This window comes from Homo sapiens, chromosome 3 (genome assembly GCF_000001405.40).
Source record: "Homo sapiens chromosome 3, GRCh38.p14 Primary Assembly".
Lineage (NCBI taxonomy): Eukaryota > Metazoa > Chordata > Mammalia > Primates > Hominidae > Homo > Homo sapiens.
In genome coordinates this window covers 14,733,382-14,752,903 of record NC_000003.12, presented here as the reverse complement: position 1 = coordinate 14,752,903, position 19,522 = coordinate 14,733,382, and the positions used below count along the sequence as shown (strand labels likewise).

Sequence of the window (19,522 nt, the reverse complement as noted above, 5' to 3'; positions counted from 1 at the left end):
CTAATTTACACTCCCACCAATAGTGTAAAAGCGTGCCTATTTCTCCACATCCTCTCCAGCATCTGTCGTTTCCTGACTTTTTAATGATCACCATTCTAACTGGCGTGAGATGATATCTCATTATCGTTTTGATTTGCATTTCTCTGATGACCAGTGATGATGACTATTTTTTCATATGTCTGTTGGCTGCATAAATGTCTTCTTTTGAGAAGTGTCTGTTCATATCCTTTGCCCACTTTTTGATGGGGTTGTTTGTTTTTTTCTTGTAAATTTGTTTAAGTTCTTTGTAGATTCTGGATATTGGCTCTTTGTCAGATGGATAGATTGCAAAACTTTTCTCCCATTCTGTAGGTTGCCTGCTCACTCTGATGATAGTTTCTTTTGCTGTGCAGAAGCTCTTTAGTTTGATTAGATCCCATTTATCTATTTTGGCTATTGTTGCCATTGCTTTTGATGTTTTAGTCACGAAGTCTTTACCCATGCCTATGTCCTGAATTACCGGTATTGTCTAGGTTTTCTTCTAGGGTTTTTATGGTTTTTAGGTCTTACGTTTAAGTCTTTAATCCATCTCGAGTTAATTTTTGTATAAGGTGTAAGCAAGGGATCCAGTTTCAGCTTTCTACATATGGCTAGCCAGTTTTCCCAGCACCATTTATTAAATAGGGAATCCTTTCCCCATTGTGTGTATTTGTCAGGTTTGTCAAAGATCAGATGGTTGTAGATGTGTGGTGTTATTTCTGAGGCCTCTGTTCTGTTCCACTGGTCTATATATCTGTTTTGGTACCAGTACCATGCTGTTTTGGTTACTGTAGCCTTGTAGTGTAGTTTGAAGTCAGGTAGTGTGATTCCTCCAGCTTTGTTCTTTTTGCTTAGGATTGTCTTGGCTATGTGGGCTCTTTTTTGGTTCCATATGAAATTTAAAGTAGTCTTTTCCAATTCTGTGAAGAAAGTCAGTGGTAGCTTGATGGGGATAGCATTGAATGTATAAATTATCTTGGGTAGTATGGCCATTTTCACAATATTGATTCTTCTTACCCATGAGCATGGAATGTTCTTCCATTTGTTTGTGCCCTCTTTTATTTCCTTGAGAAGTGGTTTGTAGTCCTCCTTGAAGAGGTCCTTCACATTCCTTGCAAGTTGGATTCCTAGGTGTTTTATTCTCTTGGTAGTAATTGTGAATGGGAGTTCACTCATGATTTGGCTCTCTGTTTGTCTGTTCTTGGTGTATAGGAATGCTTGTGATTTTTGCACATTGATTTTGTATCCTGAGACTTTGCTGAAGTTGCTTATCAGCTTAAGGAGATTTTGGGCCAAGACGATGGGGTTTTCTAAATATACAATCATGTCATCTGCAAACGGAGACAATTTGACTTCCTCTTTTCCTAATTGAATATCCTTTATTTCTTTTTCTTACCATTCACTCATGGCTTCCCTTGGCTAGGAAAGGGAAATCCCTTGACGCCTTGTGCTTCCTGGGTGAGGCGACACCCTGCCCTGCTTTAGCTTGCCCTCCGGGGGCTGCACCCGCTGTCCAACCAGTCCCAATGAGGAGTACCAGGTACCTTAGTTGGAAATGCAGAAATCACCCATCTTCTATGTCAATCTCACTGGGAGCTGTAGACCAGAGCTGTTTCTATTCAGCCATCTTCAACCACTTAACTATATTTAAAGAGCTAAAGGAAACCATGGAAAAACAACTAAAGGAAACCAGGAGAACAATATCTCACCTAATAGAAAATATCAATAAAGAGACAAGAATTATGAAAAGTAATCAATCAGAAATTCTAGAGTTAAAAAGTAAAATAACTAAAATAAAAATTCAGTGATAGATCTAAGCAGGCAGAAGAAAGGGTCAGCAAACTTGAAGATAGGATAATTAAGATTATTTAGTTTGAGGAGTAGAAAGAAAAAAGAATGAAGAACAATTAACAGAGCCTAAGATGTCTGTGGGACAGCATCAAACATACTCAAGACACATAATGGGAATCCTAGAAGGACAGGAAAGAAAGGAGCAGAAAGAATATTTGAAGAAATAATTGCCTAAAACTCTCCCAATTTGATGAAAGACATAAATCTACATATCTAAATAGCTTAACAAATTCAAAGTGGGATAAATTCAAAGAGATCTACATTGATACACATTATCATAAAATTATCAAAAGACATAACATCTTGAAAACAACGGGAGAAGCAACTCATCAAGTTCAAGGAATCCTCAATAAGATTAATAGCCAATTACTCATGAGAAATTTTGGCTGCTAGAAGGCAGTGGGCGGACATATTTAAAGTGCTGAAAGAGAAACAAGAAAAAAAAACCTTGTCAGCCTAGAATTTTTTTTTTTTTTTTTTAAGACAGGGTCTCATTCTGTTACCTGGGCTGGAATGCAGTAGCATGATCACAGCTCACTGCAGCCTCAACCTCCAGGGCACAGTGATTCTCCCATCTTAGCCTCCTGAGTAGCTAGGATGACAGGCACGTGATACTACTCCTGGCTGTTTCGTAGAGACAGGTTTTTTGTAGAGACAAGTTATCACCATGTTGCCCAGGCTGGCCTCAAACTCCTGGACTCAAGAGATCTGCCTGCCTACGCCTCCCAAAGTGCTGGGATTATAGGCATGAGCCACTGCACCCAGCCTCAGCCTAGAATTCTATATTGAGCAAAGCTATCCTTCAAAAATGAAGGAGAAAGTAAGACATTCCCAGACAAACAAAAGCTAAGGGAGTTTGTTCCTGGTAGGCCTGCACCACAAAACATGCCATTGAGTCCAGGTTGAAATGGAAAGATACTAGACAGTAACTTGAAGCTATATGAAGAAATAAAGAACACTGATAAAGGTAACTACATAGGTAAACATAAAAGAAGTATTGTCATATTTTTCAGTTTGTAACTTTTTTGTTTTTTTTTTCTGTATGATTTAAAACACAAATACATAAAACAATAATTGTACATATGTGTTAATGGGCACACAATGCATAAAGACGTTTTTTATAACAATGTCAACATAAAGTAGAGAGGTGGGAAGGAAGCTGTACGGGAGCAGATAACTTTGTATGCTACTAAAGCTAAGTTGGTATTAATTCAAACTAGATTGTTACACATTTAAGATGTTACTTATAATCACCACGGTAACCACAAAGAAAATAACTAAAATATACAGAAAAATAAATGAGAAGGAATTCAAAACCATACAGTAAAAAAAAAAAATCAATTAAACGTAAAAAAGGCAATGATGGAGGAATTGAAAAACAGAAAGATTTCTAGAAAACTAACAGCAAGATGGCAGAAGTCCTTCCTAGTCAGTAATTACTTTAAACATAAATGGATTAAAGTCTTAAACAAAACTCAGATCAGTGGAATGCAAATCCAACTGTAATCCAACTACATGCTCCCTACACGAGATGCATTTTAGATTCAAACATGCAACTAAAGCTGCATGCAGTAGCATGTGTCTGCAGTTCCAGCTACTTGGTAGGCTGAGGTGGGAGGCTCTCTTGAGCCCAGGAGTTTGAGTCCAGCCTTGGCAACACAGTGATACCCCATGTCTAAACAAACAAACATACAGCTAAGTTTAAAATGAAAGATTGAAAACAAACACTCTAAGCAAATAATAACCTAAAGGAAAAAAATAACCAGGAGTGGTTATACTAATATCAGACAAAAATAGACTTTAAGTAAAAAATTATTATGGGAGACAAATGAGGACATTATGTATTTAGAAGACAGTTACTCTATCTAGAAATATAACAATTGCAAACATATACACATGTAACAATAGAGTCCCTAAATATATGAAGCAAAACCTGACAGAATTGAAGGAAGAAATAGGCAATTCTATAGTAATAGTTAGATACTTTAACATCCCACTTTTGATAACGGATAGGATAACTAGACAAAAGACAAGGAAATAGAAAACTTGAAGAACATTATAAACCAACTAGAACTAACAGACACATATAGAACATTTGATCCAAGCACCGCAAAACACACATTCTTCTCTATTGCACATGGAACATTCTTCAGGACAGACTATATATGAGACCACAAAACAAATCTCAATAAATTTAAAAAGACTGAAAACATTATAAAATCTCTTCTCCAAGCACAATGATATGAAATTAGAATTCAATAACAGGAAGAAATTTGGAAAATTCACAAATATGTGAAAATTAAGCAACACATTATTAAACAACAAATGGGTCAAAGAAGGAATCTCAAGGGAAATTAGAAAACAACACTTTAAGGAAATGAAAACAAAAACAACGTACCAAAACTTAAGGGATACACTGAGAGCAACAGTCAGGAATATTTATAGCTGTAAATGCCTACATTAAAAGAGAAGAAAATCTCAAACCAATAATCTAACCTAACCTTAAAGCAGAAGAAGAAGAACAAACTAAACCCAAAGCTGGCAGAGGGAAGAAAATAATAATGATTGGAGTCAGTCAAGGTAAATAAATAAAGAATAGATAAACCATAGAGAGAAACAACAAAACAGATGTTGGTTCTCTGTATAGAGCAGACTAAATATTTAGCTAGACTGACTAAAAGAGAAAAGTTGCAAATTACTGAAATAAAAAATGAAAGTGGGTCATTATTACCAACCTTACAGAATTTAAAAACTGTAAGAAAAAATTGTGAACAATTGTATGCCAACAAATCAGATAATCTAAAAGAAATGGACAAATTTCTAAGACACACAAATGATCAAAATTAACTCAAGAAGAAATATATAATCTGAATAAGCCTCTAACAAGTAAAAAGATTGAATCAGTAATCAAAAACCCCCCAAGAAAAGCCTGGAACTAGATATTTTCACTTGTGAATTCTACCTAAAATTTAAAGAAGAACTAACACCAAAACTTTCTCAAACTCACCTAAAAACAGAAGAAATGGAAACCTCAGCATTACCCTGATACCAAAGCCAGACAAAGACACTACAAAAAAGAAAAACAGACAAATATCCCTTATTAATATAGATGTAAAAATTCTCAGCAAAATACCAGCAAACAAAAGTTTGACTAAGATGTCATATTAAAAATTGTTTATAGAAAATATATCATATATATATAATATAAAGCCTGCCTTTGTCTTCCTAGCCTCAACATTTTTTAAAAAAAGGTCAAATCTGAGATTTCTATGTGATCAGTTACTATTCTTTCTGCACTTATGTAAATGACCAGACCAAAATTGATGAGACTAAACTTATTTTGCAAACAATATTGCCTTACTCTGATTGTCTTTGGTAGAAAGTGGGATGACTGAAGAGAAAAATCATGTTTCCAAAGAAAAACTATAATATACCTGTTATTAGACTGTAGCCCTGTGCATTGTTTTCAAGTTTTTGTTTTCTATCTGTAGACTAGACTGGATCCTAAATTTGTCTTGGTTCTTTCAATCCAGTTTTCTCTCATTGAATTACTAAGGGCAGAAACTGCTCTTTCCTAAATACCTATAAACTGAGGCTAGATAATTTGGTGTAAATTTCAAAAGACAAGGTTTACGCTTAATGGGTGGGCCACACAGGGAGTTTAACAAAGCCAGCTGGTGCCATAACCACTATAACCAGAGATATTCAAGCTGCAATATTGCCAACTTCATGCTGTAGACAGATTTTCCCAAGATGCCAAACAAGATTTCATATCATAATGAGACTCTTACCCCTTGTAATACCTACCTTTTTCACTGAACAGAGTAACGGCTGTAATCAAAATTTCAGTCAGTAACTGCTATGAGTAACTTGACAGAACCTAACCTAATAAATCCTTTAGGCCACCTAGTTGGTAACTTTGACAACATCCCTAACTTGTTCAAATTGTACTAGAAGTCCCTTTTAGAGTTGCCACTCTTTGCTTTAATTCAACCCAGTCATAAAATGCTACTCAATGGCTACAACAGTTCTCACCCAGTTCCCAGTTCCCCCATTGTCCTTTGATTTGTTTAGTTAATTGCCCTTAGGCTTGGCTCTTGGTTCAAAACTGAATTTAGGATACTGTTGCTGGTTATTTTTTGTATTATGAGCTTTAAGCTCTGTTCTTGTTGTCTGTCTAATATTTGTAAAATCAGTTCTTCCAACAGGATAATGTTAGCTCAACATTTTGAGATGATTGCTTAATGCCCATGGATCTAAGAAGACAGAACTCAATGACAAACTCCAGGCAAAACTGCCCAAAGAAAGTTTTTTTCCTTCCTTATGGCCTCTTTGTTGCTCAATTGTGTCTAGGGTCCTTGACTTTGACTGCATCACCTTCCCCACAATGTGAGACCAGAGACCACTGGAACAGGTCCATCCTGACACTGAGGGACAACTAGCCTAACTTCAAGATAGTTGATCAATGATGCTTTCAGAAAAAGATCTTGACCAAGAGGAGGAGATGTGAAAATGGATAATATATGTTGCAGTTATCTCGTCATAACCAATTAAATTACAGTCAAGACCACAGGGAAAAAACAGTTGGGGCACAAGAGCCTACTCAGGGATTATATCGCAATCCAGTTGCTGAAATGACCTCCTATAACCTTAAGACTAAATTTACCTAGTAGCAGCTTAAGTGAACTGCTGTGATTCTGAGACTAGTTTTACCTACTGCTATCACTCATCAATCAGAGTTTGCCAGTTCCCCAAAACTTTGCTAGCACCAAGGAGCTTTCCTTCCAAACAATATGTAACATTTATCTTTCTAGTAAAACCCCCAACTTTCCTTGTTATTGGACATATCAAAGACTGCCTGGTTTGTGTGTATGCCTCCAATTGCAAGTTTGTTTTCCCAAATAAAAGCTCTTCTTTAGAGATTCATCTCTATATTTTTATTTGACTTTGACAGTATGATTCCCTTTATGTAAAACATGGAGAATGGGCAAATTCATAGAGACAGAAAGTAGATTAGTAGTTTCTAGGGAAGGGAGAATGGGAAGTGACTGTTTAATGGGTACAAAGTTTCCTTTTGGGGTGATTTAAAAAAGTTCTGGAATTAAATAGTGGTGATGGTTGTATGATGCTGTGAGTATATTAAATTCTGCTGAACTGCACACTTCATTAAATGGTTAAAATGGTCAATTTTATATTATGTATATGTTGTATGTAACTCATAAAAATTATGTAAAGAAGCTCCACTTCACTTTTAATAATATAAATACAAATTAAAACTATACTAAGGTAACATATTTTGCTGATGAGAATGTAAATTGGTATAATCTTATGGTGATTAATTTGACACTATCTCTTAAAATTATAAATGCACATGACCCTTGGTCTAATAATTTCATCTTTAGGAATTTATTTACAGATATAGTTGTACAAATGTGATATCACAAATGTATATGGTTACTACCTCCATTGCTTGTAATAGGAAAAAAGGATTGGGCTAATCACAGAACACCTACACAGTGGGTATTATATAGCAAGAAGAAAAAGAATGACAGCTATTCATGACATATTGTGAAAAAGTAAAGTTCAGAACACTGTTTTAATATAATGCTTTTTAAGCCAGCAAAGCGGAAGAAATAAGGCATATTTGCACTTGCTTGCATAGGCATAAGGAAACTCTAGTTGGGTTTTGCCAGTAGGGGCACCAGCAGGAGATCAGAGGGAAAGAGGAGCATAAGGTTGGAGAGCCACCTCCCTAGTTCCCTCCCTGTGGGGTCATGCACCTCTCAACTGCAGGCCAATGGCTCTGTCAGAAGGTCCTCCCTCACTGCTCTCTCTCTCTCTGTGGGTTCTAGTAATTTGTCCTGCACATCAAATCTAACCTCTTCAGCCTAGCTTCATCAACTGCTCCCCTTCCTGCTCTAACAGGCAAACAGATTTGTCAGTTGCTTCCTTACTTCCCACTAATGTCCCTGAGGATATCTGGAAACATTAACACATGACTCTACATTTTCACAGCACTCACTGTTTAAAAAGCACATTTTCACAACTAAGAAACAGTATTTGCTATTCACAGGAACATGGAGAGTACACAGGAAGAAGGAATTATTACACCAATGATATGGTTTGGCTGTGTCCCCACTGAAATCTCAACTTGCATTTATCTCCCAGAATTCCCACATGTTGTGGGAGGGACCCAGTGGGGAGGTAATTGAATCACGTGGGCTGGTCTTTCCCATGCTATTCTCGTGACAGTGAATAAATCTCATGAGATCTGATGGGTGTATCAGGGGTTTCTGCTTTTGCTTCTTCCTCATTTTCTCTTGTCGTCGCCATGTAAGAAGAGTCTTTCACCTCCCACCATGATTCTAAGGCCTCCCCAGCCATGGGGAACTGTAAGTCCAATTAACCTTTTTTCATTCCCAGTTTCGAGTATGTTTTTATCAGCAGTGTGAAAACGAACTAATACAGTAAATTGGTACCAGTAGAGTGGGGCATTGCTGAAAAGATACCCGAAAATGTGGAAGTGACTTTGGAACTGGGTAACAGACAAAGGTTGGAACAGTTTGAAGGGCTCAGAAGAAGACAGGAAAATGTGGGAAATTTTGGAACTTCCTAGAGACTTGTTGAATGGCTTTGCCCAAAATGTTGACAGCGATATGGACAATAAAATTCAGGCTGAGGTGGTCTCAGATGGAGATGAGGAACTTGTTGGGAACTGGATCACAGGTGACTCTTGTTATGTTTTAGCAAAGAGACTGGTAGCATTTTGCCCCTGCCCTAGAGATTTGTGGAACTTTGAACTTGAGAGAGATGATTTAGAGTATCTGGTGGAAGAAATTTCTAAGCAGCAAAGCATTCAAGAGGTAACCTGGGTGTTGTTAAAGGCATTCAGTTTTATAAGGGAAGCAGAGCATAAAGTTTGGAAAATTTTCAGCCTGACTATGTGATAGAAAAGAAAAGCCCATTTTCTGGGGAGAAATTCAAGTTGGCTGCAGAAATTTGCATAAGCAGCAAGGAGCCTAATGTTAATTTCCAAGACCATGGGAAAAATGTCTCCAGGCCATATCAGAGAACTTCCTGATAGCCCCTCCCATCAGGCCTGGAGGCCCAGGAGGAAAAAGTGGTTTCGTGGGCTGGGCCCAGGGTCCCCATGCTGTGTGCAGCTTAGGGGCTTGGTGCCCTGTGTCCCAGCTGCTCCAGCCATGGCTGAAAGGGGCCAACATATAGCTTGGGCTGTGGCTTCAGAGGGTGGAAGCCCCAAACCTTGGCAGCTTCCACAAGGAGTTGAGTGTGTGGGTGCACAGAAGTGAAGAATTGAGGTTTGGGAACCTCCACCTAGATTTCAGATGTATGGAAACGCCTGGATGCTCAGGCAAAAGTTTGCTGCAGGGGTGAGGTCCTCATGAAGAACCTCTGCTAGGGCAGTGCAGAAGGGAAATGTGGGGTCAGAGCCCCCATGCAAAGTCCCTACTGGGGCACTGCCTAGTGGAGCTGTGAGAAGAGGGCCATTGTCCTCCAGACCCCAGAATGGTAGATCCAGTGACAGCTTGCTCCATGCACCTGGAAAAGCCACTCAACGTCAGCCCATGAAAGGAGCCAGGAGGGAGGCTGTACCCTGCAAAGTCACAGGGGCAGAGCTGCCCAAGACCCTGGGAACTTACCTCTTGCATCAGCCTGACCTGAATGTGAGACCTGGAGTCAAAGGAGGTCATTTCAAAGCTTTAAAATTTGGCCCGCTGGATTTCAGACTTCCTCGGGCCCTGTAACCCCTTTGTTTTGGCCAATTTCTCCCATTTGAAATGGCTGTATTTACCCAATACCTGTACCCCCATTGTATCTAGGAAGTAGCTAGCTTGCTTTCAATTTTAAAGGCTCACAGGCGGAAGGGACTTGCCTTGTCTCAGATGACATTTTGGACTGGACTTTTGGGTTAATGCTGAAATGAGTTAAGACTTTGGGGGACTGTTGGGAAGGCATGATTAATTTTGAAATGTGAGGACATGAGATTTAGGGGGGCCACGGGTGGAATTATATGGTTTGGCTGTGTCTCCACTGAAATCTCAACTTGAATTTTATCTCTCAGAATTCCCACGTGTTGTGGGAGGGACCCAGTGGGGAGGTAATTGAATCACGTGGGCTGGTCTTTCCCATGCTATTCTCCTGATAGTGAATAAATCTCATGAGATCTGATGGGTTTATCAGGGGTTTCTGCTTTTGCTTCTTCCTCGTTTTCTCTTGCCACCACCACATAAGAAGAGCCTTTAGCCTCCCACCATGATTCTGAGGCCTCCCTAGCCATGTGGAACTGTAAGTCCAATTAAACCTTTTTTTGTTCCCAGTTTCGGGTATGTCTTTATCAGCAGCATGAAAATGAACTAATACAACCAATTTGACAGAAACTGAAATTTTGAAAGTCTCAATGTCTTAGACAAGAAAATCTTCTCCTAAAGAGGCCAATTCTCATAACTTTCTCAGGATTTTAGGACTAGGTTCTATGAAGTGAGGAGACATTGCTCTAAGATCAAAGGAGAAAAGGACTCAGAAGCCCACTGACCAATCTTGCAAAAATTCATAACAGTGGCTCTGACTGGATTCTGGGGTCTCTCCACCTGGGCCAGTGTCCCCACTCACATACATCCCAATGTACCCTGATGGGGATACATTTGCAATTTATACATTTATTCTCATCTAACGCCTCCCAAACCTACTTTTCCCTCAGTCTTCCCATCTGAGTCAGTGACGCCATTGTTACTCAGTTATTTAAGCCAAAAATCTAAAAGTCCTCCGTAAATTTAAAATTCTCTTTTCCCTACTACCATCTTTGACAGCATATCACTAATGTTACTTACTAGGTTGGTGCAAAAGTATTGCGGTTTTTGTCATTAAACGTAATGGCAATTACTTTTGCACCAACTTAATAGATTACTAAAACAGTCTTCTAACTAGTTTGCTTCCACTCTTGCTGAGGTAGGAGGCATAAGTCAGACACCAGACCAAACTGAGGATTAGCTAAAGCAGGGACGAGGTAGAAGCAGCTTTCCATCAGACATGCCCACCAGCGAGCCATGTCAGTTTACCACTGCTGTGGCAACACCTGGGAGTTACTGCCCCTTTCTATGAAAATAACCTGATGACCCAAAAGTTACTACCTCTACCCTAGAAATTTCTACGTAACCCACCACTTAATCTATATGTAATTAAAAGCAGGTATAAATATGACTGCAAAACTGCCCTGAGTTGCTACTCTCAGCACACTGCCTATGGGGTTTCCCTGCTCTGCAGGAGCAGTCACAGAGCTGTAACACTGCCAGAGCTGTAACACCGCCAGAGCTGTAACACCTCTTCAGTAAAGCTGTTTTCTTCCACCACTAGCTTGCACTTTAATTCTTTTCTGGGCAAAGCCAAGAATCCCCACAGAACAATCACAGGTGTTTCACTTCTGACAATGGCTGACTTAGGGTATTTTAGACCAATCCTCCTTCTCAGAAAACACAGAAAGTTCAACACAGTGTATATTTAAAGTAAGTCTAAGTGCATTAGAGTCACAAGTCAGTGAGGATTTTCAGGGCTAGGATCTGGTAAAAGAGAGAAACTAATGAAAGTGAGCATGACATTTAGAACTCTTTTACCTTTCAAGGCAAGTGTTGATTTTGAAAGTAAACCCAGGGATGACAGGCAGAGAAGCCAAGCAGAGCTCCTGACATGTTCACGAAGCTAGAGAGAGAAAAACAGGAATTCAGGGCCCACCGAGGTAGAAGACTCTGATAAACAACCTTGGCTTTCAGTTGAGGACCCGAAGAGCTATATCTATCTGAGGAGTAAAGGTGAAACAAAAATAGACAAGACCTCACAAAGGCTGAAGCACAGTTTCAATCCTTGTTTGGATGAGAGTCATCTGCCCCCAGCCTACTCGCCTGTTGAAAGGAAAGATAAGTCCTCTCCAGAGGAACATGATATCATCCAGAGTCTTAAATTATGTCTACGGTTTTTCATACACAATATCTGGCATACTAAAGAATATTAGATACAAAGTCAAGGATTGGCTGAAAACAGTGAGAAACAGACTTATAGAAATGCAGATATTAGAATTATCTGACAGAAGCTTTATAGTAGCTATGATTAAAATGTACAATTAAATAAGAAACAAGATGGAGAATTTCAGCAGAGTATAAGAATAAAAATGAATCCACTGGAAATTCTAAAAGTGAAAAATAGAATAAATAAGATCAAGAACTCAAAAGATGAGTTTTATCAGCACATTAGACACAGTTAAAAAAAAGCATGAGTAAATTGGAAGACAGGTCAGTAGAAAATACCTAGGCTGACCAAAAGGGAAAAAAAAAGATGAAATATACAGAACAGAGAACAAGAAATACAGACATACTTCATGTTATTGTGCTCCACTTTACTGCATGTTGCAGATACTGTGTTTTTTTAGAAATTGAATGTTAGTGGCAACCTTGTGTTGAGCAAGTCTATTGGCATCATTTTTCCAATAGCATGTGCTCACTTCATGTCTCTGTGTCACATTTGGTAATTCCTGCAATATTTCAAAATTTATTATTATTATATCTCTTATGGTAATCTGTGTTAAGTGATCTTTGATGTTACTATTGTAATTGTTTGGGGGCACCAATGAACCATGCCCATATAAGACAGCAAACTTAATTGACAAATATTGTGTGTGTTCTAACTGCTCCACCAACCAGCCATTCCCCTGTTTCTCTCCATCTCCTTGGGCTTCCCTATTCCCTGAGGCATAACAATATTGAAATTAGACCAACTACTATAGTAACTCTACAATGATTCCTAAGTATTCAAGTGAAAAGAGTTGCACGCACCTCACTTTAAATCAAAAGCTAGAAATGATTAACCTTAGTGAGGAAGGCAAGCTGAAAGCTGAGATAGGTTTAAATCTAGGCCTCCTGTGCCAGTCAGCCAAGTTGTGAATGCAAAGAAAAAGTTCATGAAGGAAATTAAAAGTGCTACTCCAATGAATGCACAAATAAGACAGCAAAACAGCCTTATTGCTGATATGGAGAAAGTTTTAGTGGTCTGCATAGAAAAGCAAATCAGCCATAATATTCTTATTAGTCAGTGCCTAATCTGGAGCAAGGCCCAAGCTCTCTTTAATTCTGTGAAGGCTGAGAGAGATGAGGAAGCCACAAAGGAAAAATCGTAATCTAGCAAAGTTATTCATGAGATTTAAGGAATGAAACCATCTCCATAACACAACAGTACAAGGTGAAGCAGCAAGTGCTGATTAAGAAGCTAAAGCATGTTATACAGAAGATCTAGTTAAGATCATTGATGAAGGTGACTATACTAAACAACAGATTATAAATGTACATGAAAGAGCCTTCTACTGGAAGAAGATGCCACCTAGGACTTACATAGCTAGAGAGGAGAAGTCAATGTCTGGCTTTAAAGCTTCAAAGGACAGGCTGACTCTTTTTATTAGAGGCTAAGGCAGCTGGTGACTTTAGGCTAAAGCCAATGCTCATTTACCATTCTGAAAACCCTAGAGCCCTTAAGAATGATGCTAAATCTACTCTGCCTGTGCTATATAAATGGAACAATGAAGCTTGGATGACAGCAATCTATTCACAGAATAGTATACTGAATATTTTAAGTCTACTGTTGAGAACTACTGCTCAGGAAAAAAGATTCCTTTCAAAATAATACTGCTCATTGACAATGCACCTGGTCACCCTAGAGTTCTGATGGAGATGTACAAGATTATTATTTTTATGCCTACTAATATAGCAACCATATTGCAGCCCACAGATCAAGGAGTAGACTTTCAAGTCTTATTACCTAAGAAATACATTTTGTAAAGCTATAGATGCTGTAGGTAGTGATTCCTCTGATGGATCTGGGCAAAGTAAATTGAAAACCTTTGGAAAAGGATTTACCATTCTTGATGTCATTAAGAATATTTGTGAGCCAGGCACAGTGGCTCATGCCTGTAATTCCAGCACTTTGGGAGGCCGAGGCAGGTGGATCACCTGAGGTCAGGAGTTTGAGACTAGCCTGACCAACATGGCGAAACCCCGTCTCTACTAAAAATACAAAAATTGGCTGGGCACAATGGCTCACACCTGTAATCCCGGCACTTTGGGAGGCTGAGGTGGGTGGATCACCTGAGGTCAGGAGTTTAAGACCAGCCTGACCAACATGGAGAAACCCCATCTCTACTAAAAAAAAAAAAAAAAAAAACAAAAAAATTAGCCAGGCATGGTGGTGCATGCCTGTAATCCCAGCTACTCAGGAGGTTGAGGCAGGAGAGTCGCTTGAACCCAGGAGCCGGAGGTTGCGGTGAGCCAAGATTGTGCCATGTGCCATTGCACTCCAGCCTGGGCAACAAGAGAGAAACTCTGTCAAAAAAAAAAAAAAAAAAAAAAGGCCGGGCATGGTGGCTCATGCCTGTAATCCCAGCACTTTGGGAGGCCAAGGTGGGCAGATCACGAGGTCAGGAGATCGAGACCATCCTAGCTAACATGGTGAAACCCCATCTGTACTAAAAAAAATACAAAAAATTAGCCAGGTGTGGTGGCGGGTGCCTGTAGTCCCAGCTACTGGGGAGGCTGAGGCAGGAGAATGGCATGAACCCAGAAGGTGGAGCTTGCAGTGAGCTGAGATCACGCCACTGCACTCCAGCCTGGGCAACAGAGCAAGACTCCATCTAAAAAAAAAAAAATTAGTTGGGCATGGTGGAAGATGCCTGTAATCCCAGCTGTTCAGGAGGTTGAGGCAGGAGAATTGCTTGAACCCGGGGGGCAGAGGTTGCAGTGAGCCAAGATTGCACCACTGTACTCCAGCCTGGGTGACAGAGTGAGACTCTGCCTCAAAAAAAAAAAAAAAAAAAAAGGAATATTTGTGATTCATGGGAGGTCAAAATGTCAACATTTAACAGGAATTTGGAAGAAATTGACTCCAACCTTCACGAATGACTCTGAGGAGTTCAAGACTCCAGTGGAGGAAGTAACTGAAAATGTGGTAGAAATAGCAACAAAGCTAGAATTAGAAGTGGAGGCTGAAGATGTGACCGAATTGCTGCAATCTCATGAATAAACTTGAAGGGATGAAAAGTTGCTTCTCATGGATAAACAAAGAAAGTGGTTTGTTGAGATAGAATCTACTCCTGGTGAAGATGCCATAAACATTGATGAAATGACAAAAGATTTAGAACATTACATAAACTTAGTTGATAAAACAGCAGCAGAGTTTGAGAGGACTGACTCCAATTTTGAAAAAGTTCCATGGGCAAAATTCTATCAAACAGCATCAAATGCTACAGAGAAATCTTTTGTGAAAGGAAAAATTAATTAATGTGGCAAACTTTTTTGCTGTCTTCTTTTAAGAAATTACCATTGCCACTCTAACCTTCAGCAACCACCACCCTGATCAGTCAGCCTCAGGGCAAGACACTCCACCAGCAAAAAGATTAGGACTTGCTGAAGTCTCAGATGTGCATTAGCATATCTTCAGCAATAAAATATTTTAAAATTATGGTATGTACATTGTGTTTTTAGAGGTAATGCTGTTGCACACTTAATAGACTATAGTATATTGTAAACATAGCTTTTATATGTACTGGAAAACCAAAAAATTTGTGTGATTTGCTTTATTGCAATTTGCTTTATTGTAGTGGTCTGGAACCAAATCTACAATATTTCCAAGGTATGCCTGTACATGAAACTTAGTAAAAAGGTGTACTTGGGAGTCCCAGATAGAGAGAAAAGAAAGAGAAAGTGGAAAGGTGGGGAAGGAGGTAAAGGAGGAAGGGAGGGGGAAAAAGAGAAAAAAGGGAGGATAAAAAGAGAAAAGAGGAGAAATATTTAATGAAATAATAGCTGAGAATTTTTTCTAAATAATGAAAGCATCATATCAAGAAGTTCTACAAACTGGATAAGTACAATGAAAATTACATTTAGGCACATCATAGAAAAGCCTTTAAAGAAACAACACTAACTAAAGGTGAGAGAAAAAAACAGCCAGAGAAAAAAAGATGCAATATCTTCAAAGAGCAACAATAAGACCAACAGCTAAATCCTTAATAAAATGGTAGAAGCCAGAAAACAGCAGAACGACATCTTCAAAGTGCTAAAACAAAGTAATTGCCAACCTTAGGAACACAGAAAATACCACTCAAAATGTAGGTAATGGGCCAGGCACAGTGGCTCACACCTGTAATCTCAGCACTTTGGGAGGCTGAGGCAGGTGGATCACTTGAGGTCAGGAGTTTGAGATCAGCCTGAGCAACATGGTGAAGCCCCATGTCTATTAAAAATATGAAAATTAGCTGGGTGTGGTGGCATATGCCTGTAGTCCCAGCTACTCAGGAGGCTGAGGCACGAGAATCACTTGAACCTGGGAAGTGGAGGTTGCAGTGAGCTGAGACCATGCCACTGCATTCCAGCCTGAGTGACAAAAAAAAAAAAGGCCAGGCGCAGTGGCTCATGCCTGTAATCATAGCACTTTGGGAGGCCAAGGCAAGTGGATCACTTGAGGTCAGGAGTTCAAGACCAGCCTGGCCAATATGGTGAAATCTCATCTCTACTAAAAATACAAAAATTAGCCAGGTATGGTGGCACACGCTTGTAATCCCAGCTACCCAGAAGGCTGAAGCAGGATAATCGCTTGAACCCAGGAAGCAGAGGTTGCAGTGAGCCGAGATTGTGCCACTGCACTCTAGCCTGGGCAACAGAGCAAGACTCTGTCTCAAAAAAAAAAAAGTGAAATAAAAACATATTCAGGCAAAACCCAAAAAATTCCAGCATACTTTAAGGAGAATTTGAAGATAGCTATTCAGACAGAAGGAAAATGATCCCAAATGGAAGCATGAAGCAAAAAGAAAAGAAGGCACAAATGTCTAATACTAGTTAATGTGAAAAGGAGTATCATCACAGATCTTACAGTCATTTAAAATATCACAAGAGAATATTTTGAAAAACTTTATTTCAACATATTTAAACATTTGGATGAAAGGGATAAATTCCTAGAAAAAGCCAACTTACCAAAATAGACACAAAAAGAAATTAAAAATCTGAATAGTCTTATGTGTAAAATAAAGAACAATGAAAAAAGTAAATATGTGGGCAAATCTAAATATAAACTGTATAATTATGTTCACAATAGGCCAGGTGCAGTGGCTCACGTCTGTAATCCCAGCACTTTGGGAGGCTGAGGCAGGTGGATCACTTGAGGTCAGGAGTTCAAGACCAGCCTGGCCAACATGGTGAAATCCCATCTCTACTAAAAATACAAAAAATTAGCCAGGCGTGGTGGTGGGCACCTGTAATCCCAGCTACTTGGGAGGCTGAAGCAGGAGAATCATTTGAACCCAGGAGGTGGAGGTTGCAGTGAGCTGTGATGGCACCACCGCACTCCAGCCTGGGTGACAGAGAGAGACTTCGCCTCAAAAAAAAAAAAAATTCATAATAGTGTCTCATGGGATAGTTTATAACATATATATAGAATTAAAACACATGACAACAATAGTGCAAAACAAGCGGTAAATGGACAAAGTATTCTAAGATCATTGCATTGTCTGCAAAGTGGTAAAAATGCTAGAGTATATTATACTTTAGTAATTAATCATGGATTTGTGTTATAGTCTCTGGAGTAACCACTAAAGAAATACTAAAATAATGTTTAAATATTTAAATAATATATGGAGAAACTTAGAATAAAAAAAAACTTTCATTAATACACAATCAGGCAAAAAAGGAAAGAATAAAGAATACAGTGCAAGTGAGTCAAACAGCAAACAAACAGTAAGGTGGTACAAATATTTAAGTAATTATATTAATGTAAAAATATTAGCCCAAATATTTAAGTAACTATATTAATGTAAAAAGATTAAATACTCTAATTAAAAGACAAAGATTGAAAGACTGAATTTAATTAAAAAACAAAAAATATATAATTCTTTCAAGAGACAGACCTTAAAATAAAGGAGCAGAAAGGGTGAAAGTAAAAAATTAAAAAACAAAAAAAGATATATTATGAAAAATAACCAGAAAACTGATGCAATTAAACTAATACTAGAGAATACAGGCTGTAATACATAAAACATCTCTAGAGATAAAGAGAGTTCTTAATAAAATGGAAAATTCACAATGTTTACAATTTTAAGTTTGCATTTGTCTAATAACATAGTTTCAAAATACATACAGCAAAAATTTACAGAAATAAAAGGAGAAATAGAGAGCTCCAAAATTATCGTGGGAGATATTAACACACTTCTATCAGTAAATGATACAAATAAGAAAGTATTTATAAGTATATATAAGATTTAAGCAATATGATTAATAAATTAAATTAATAAATTTGACCTGACATTTATAAAACGCTGTATCAAAAAACTGCAGAATATGCATCATTTTAGCTCCACATGAAACATTTACCAAAATTGACTATGTGCTGGGCCATAAAACAAGTCTAAGCAAATTACAGAGGGTTGAAATTATGCAGTTTTTTCTCTGACCACAACACAATTTAATGTTAAAAAGAAAAAATGATAACTAGACAATCCCGAAATGGTATAATTACGTTACACACTCTAAATATCCAACGGGACAAGAAAGAACAAGAAAGAAAAATATAAAATATTTTGAGCTTAATAATTACCATATGGCATATCAAAGCTTGCGGGATGCAGCTAAAACTGGACTTTGAGGGAAATTTGTAATATTATATGTATATATTCAAAAAAGAAAAAGAAAAAGCCCAATTATCTAAGCATCCACCTCAGGAAGTCAGAAAAAGAATATAAAATTAAACCCAAAGAAAGTAGACAGAAGGAAACAATAAAGATAAGAGTAAAAGTTAATAAAGTAATAAGACAAACGTATAAGAAGATCAACACAATTAAAATTTGGTTCTTTGGAAACACTAATAAATCAATAAATCCTGGGACTAATCAAGGAGAAAAGAAAAATTGCAAAAATAATTAACACTAGTATTGTAAAAGAGGGTATCACTAGAGATCAACACAGTCATTTAAAATATTGCAAAAGGATCTTTTTAAAAACTTCAACATAGGCTGGGTGCAGTGGCTCACGCCTATAATCCCAGCACTTTGGGAGGCCGAGGTGGGCGGATCATGAGGTCAGGAGATCGAGACCATCCTGGCCAACATGGTGAAACCCCGTCCCTACTAAAAATACAAAAATTAGCTGGGTGTGGTGGTGCATGCCTGTAATTGCAGCTACTCGGGAGACTGAGGCAGGAGAATCGCTTGAACCCAGGAGGCAGAGGTTGCCCTGAGCCAAGATGGCTCCATTGCACTCCAGCCTGGCAACAGAGTGAGACTCCGTTTCAAAAAAAAAAAAACCAACTTCAACATATTTAAACATTTAGATAAAATGGTAAATTCCTAGAAAAATCCAACTTATCAAAATAAACACAAAAAGAAATCTGAATAGTCCTATATCTACTAAAAATAAAAATTTTAATTAAAAACTTCCACTGAAAGAAAATCCCAGGAAGAGGTGACTTCACTGGCAAATTCTATCAAATATTTAGGGAAGAAATAATCCATATGTACACAAAGTCCACCATATAATAGATAAAGAAGAAATACTTCTGACCATAACATGGCAAGAAAGGAAAAATTATTGACCAGTCTACCTTATAAGCACAGATA

The 19,522-nt window shown here is 38.2% G+C and overlaps 1 protein-coding gene across 9 annotated transcripts in view, besides 1 other annotated feature; it reads right to left on the bottom strand.

Moving 5' to 3' along the window:
- C3orf20 (chromosome 3 open reading frame 20) overlaps positions 1–19,522 on the bottom strand; it is a 97,896-nt gene that overhangs the window by 20,133 nt on the left and 58,241 nt on the right. The gene's annotated exons all lie outside the window — the stretch shown is intronic.
- Positions 11,207–11,306: an enhancer, noted in NCBI's record as "active region_19521". NCBI's record gives its function as "activates an Ori minimal core promoter by ATAC-STARR-seq in GM12878 lymphoblastoid cells {active_cell/tissue: GM12878}" and the evidence as "EXISTENCE:reporter gene assay evidence [ECO:0000049][PMID:35858748]".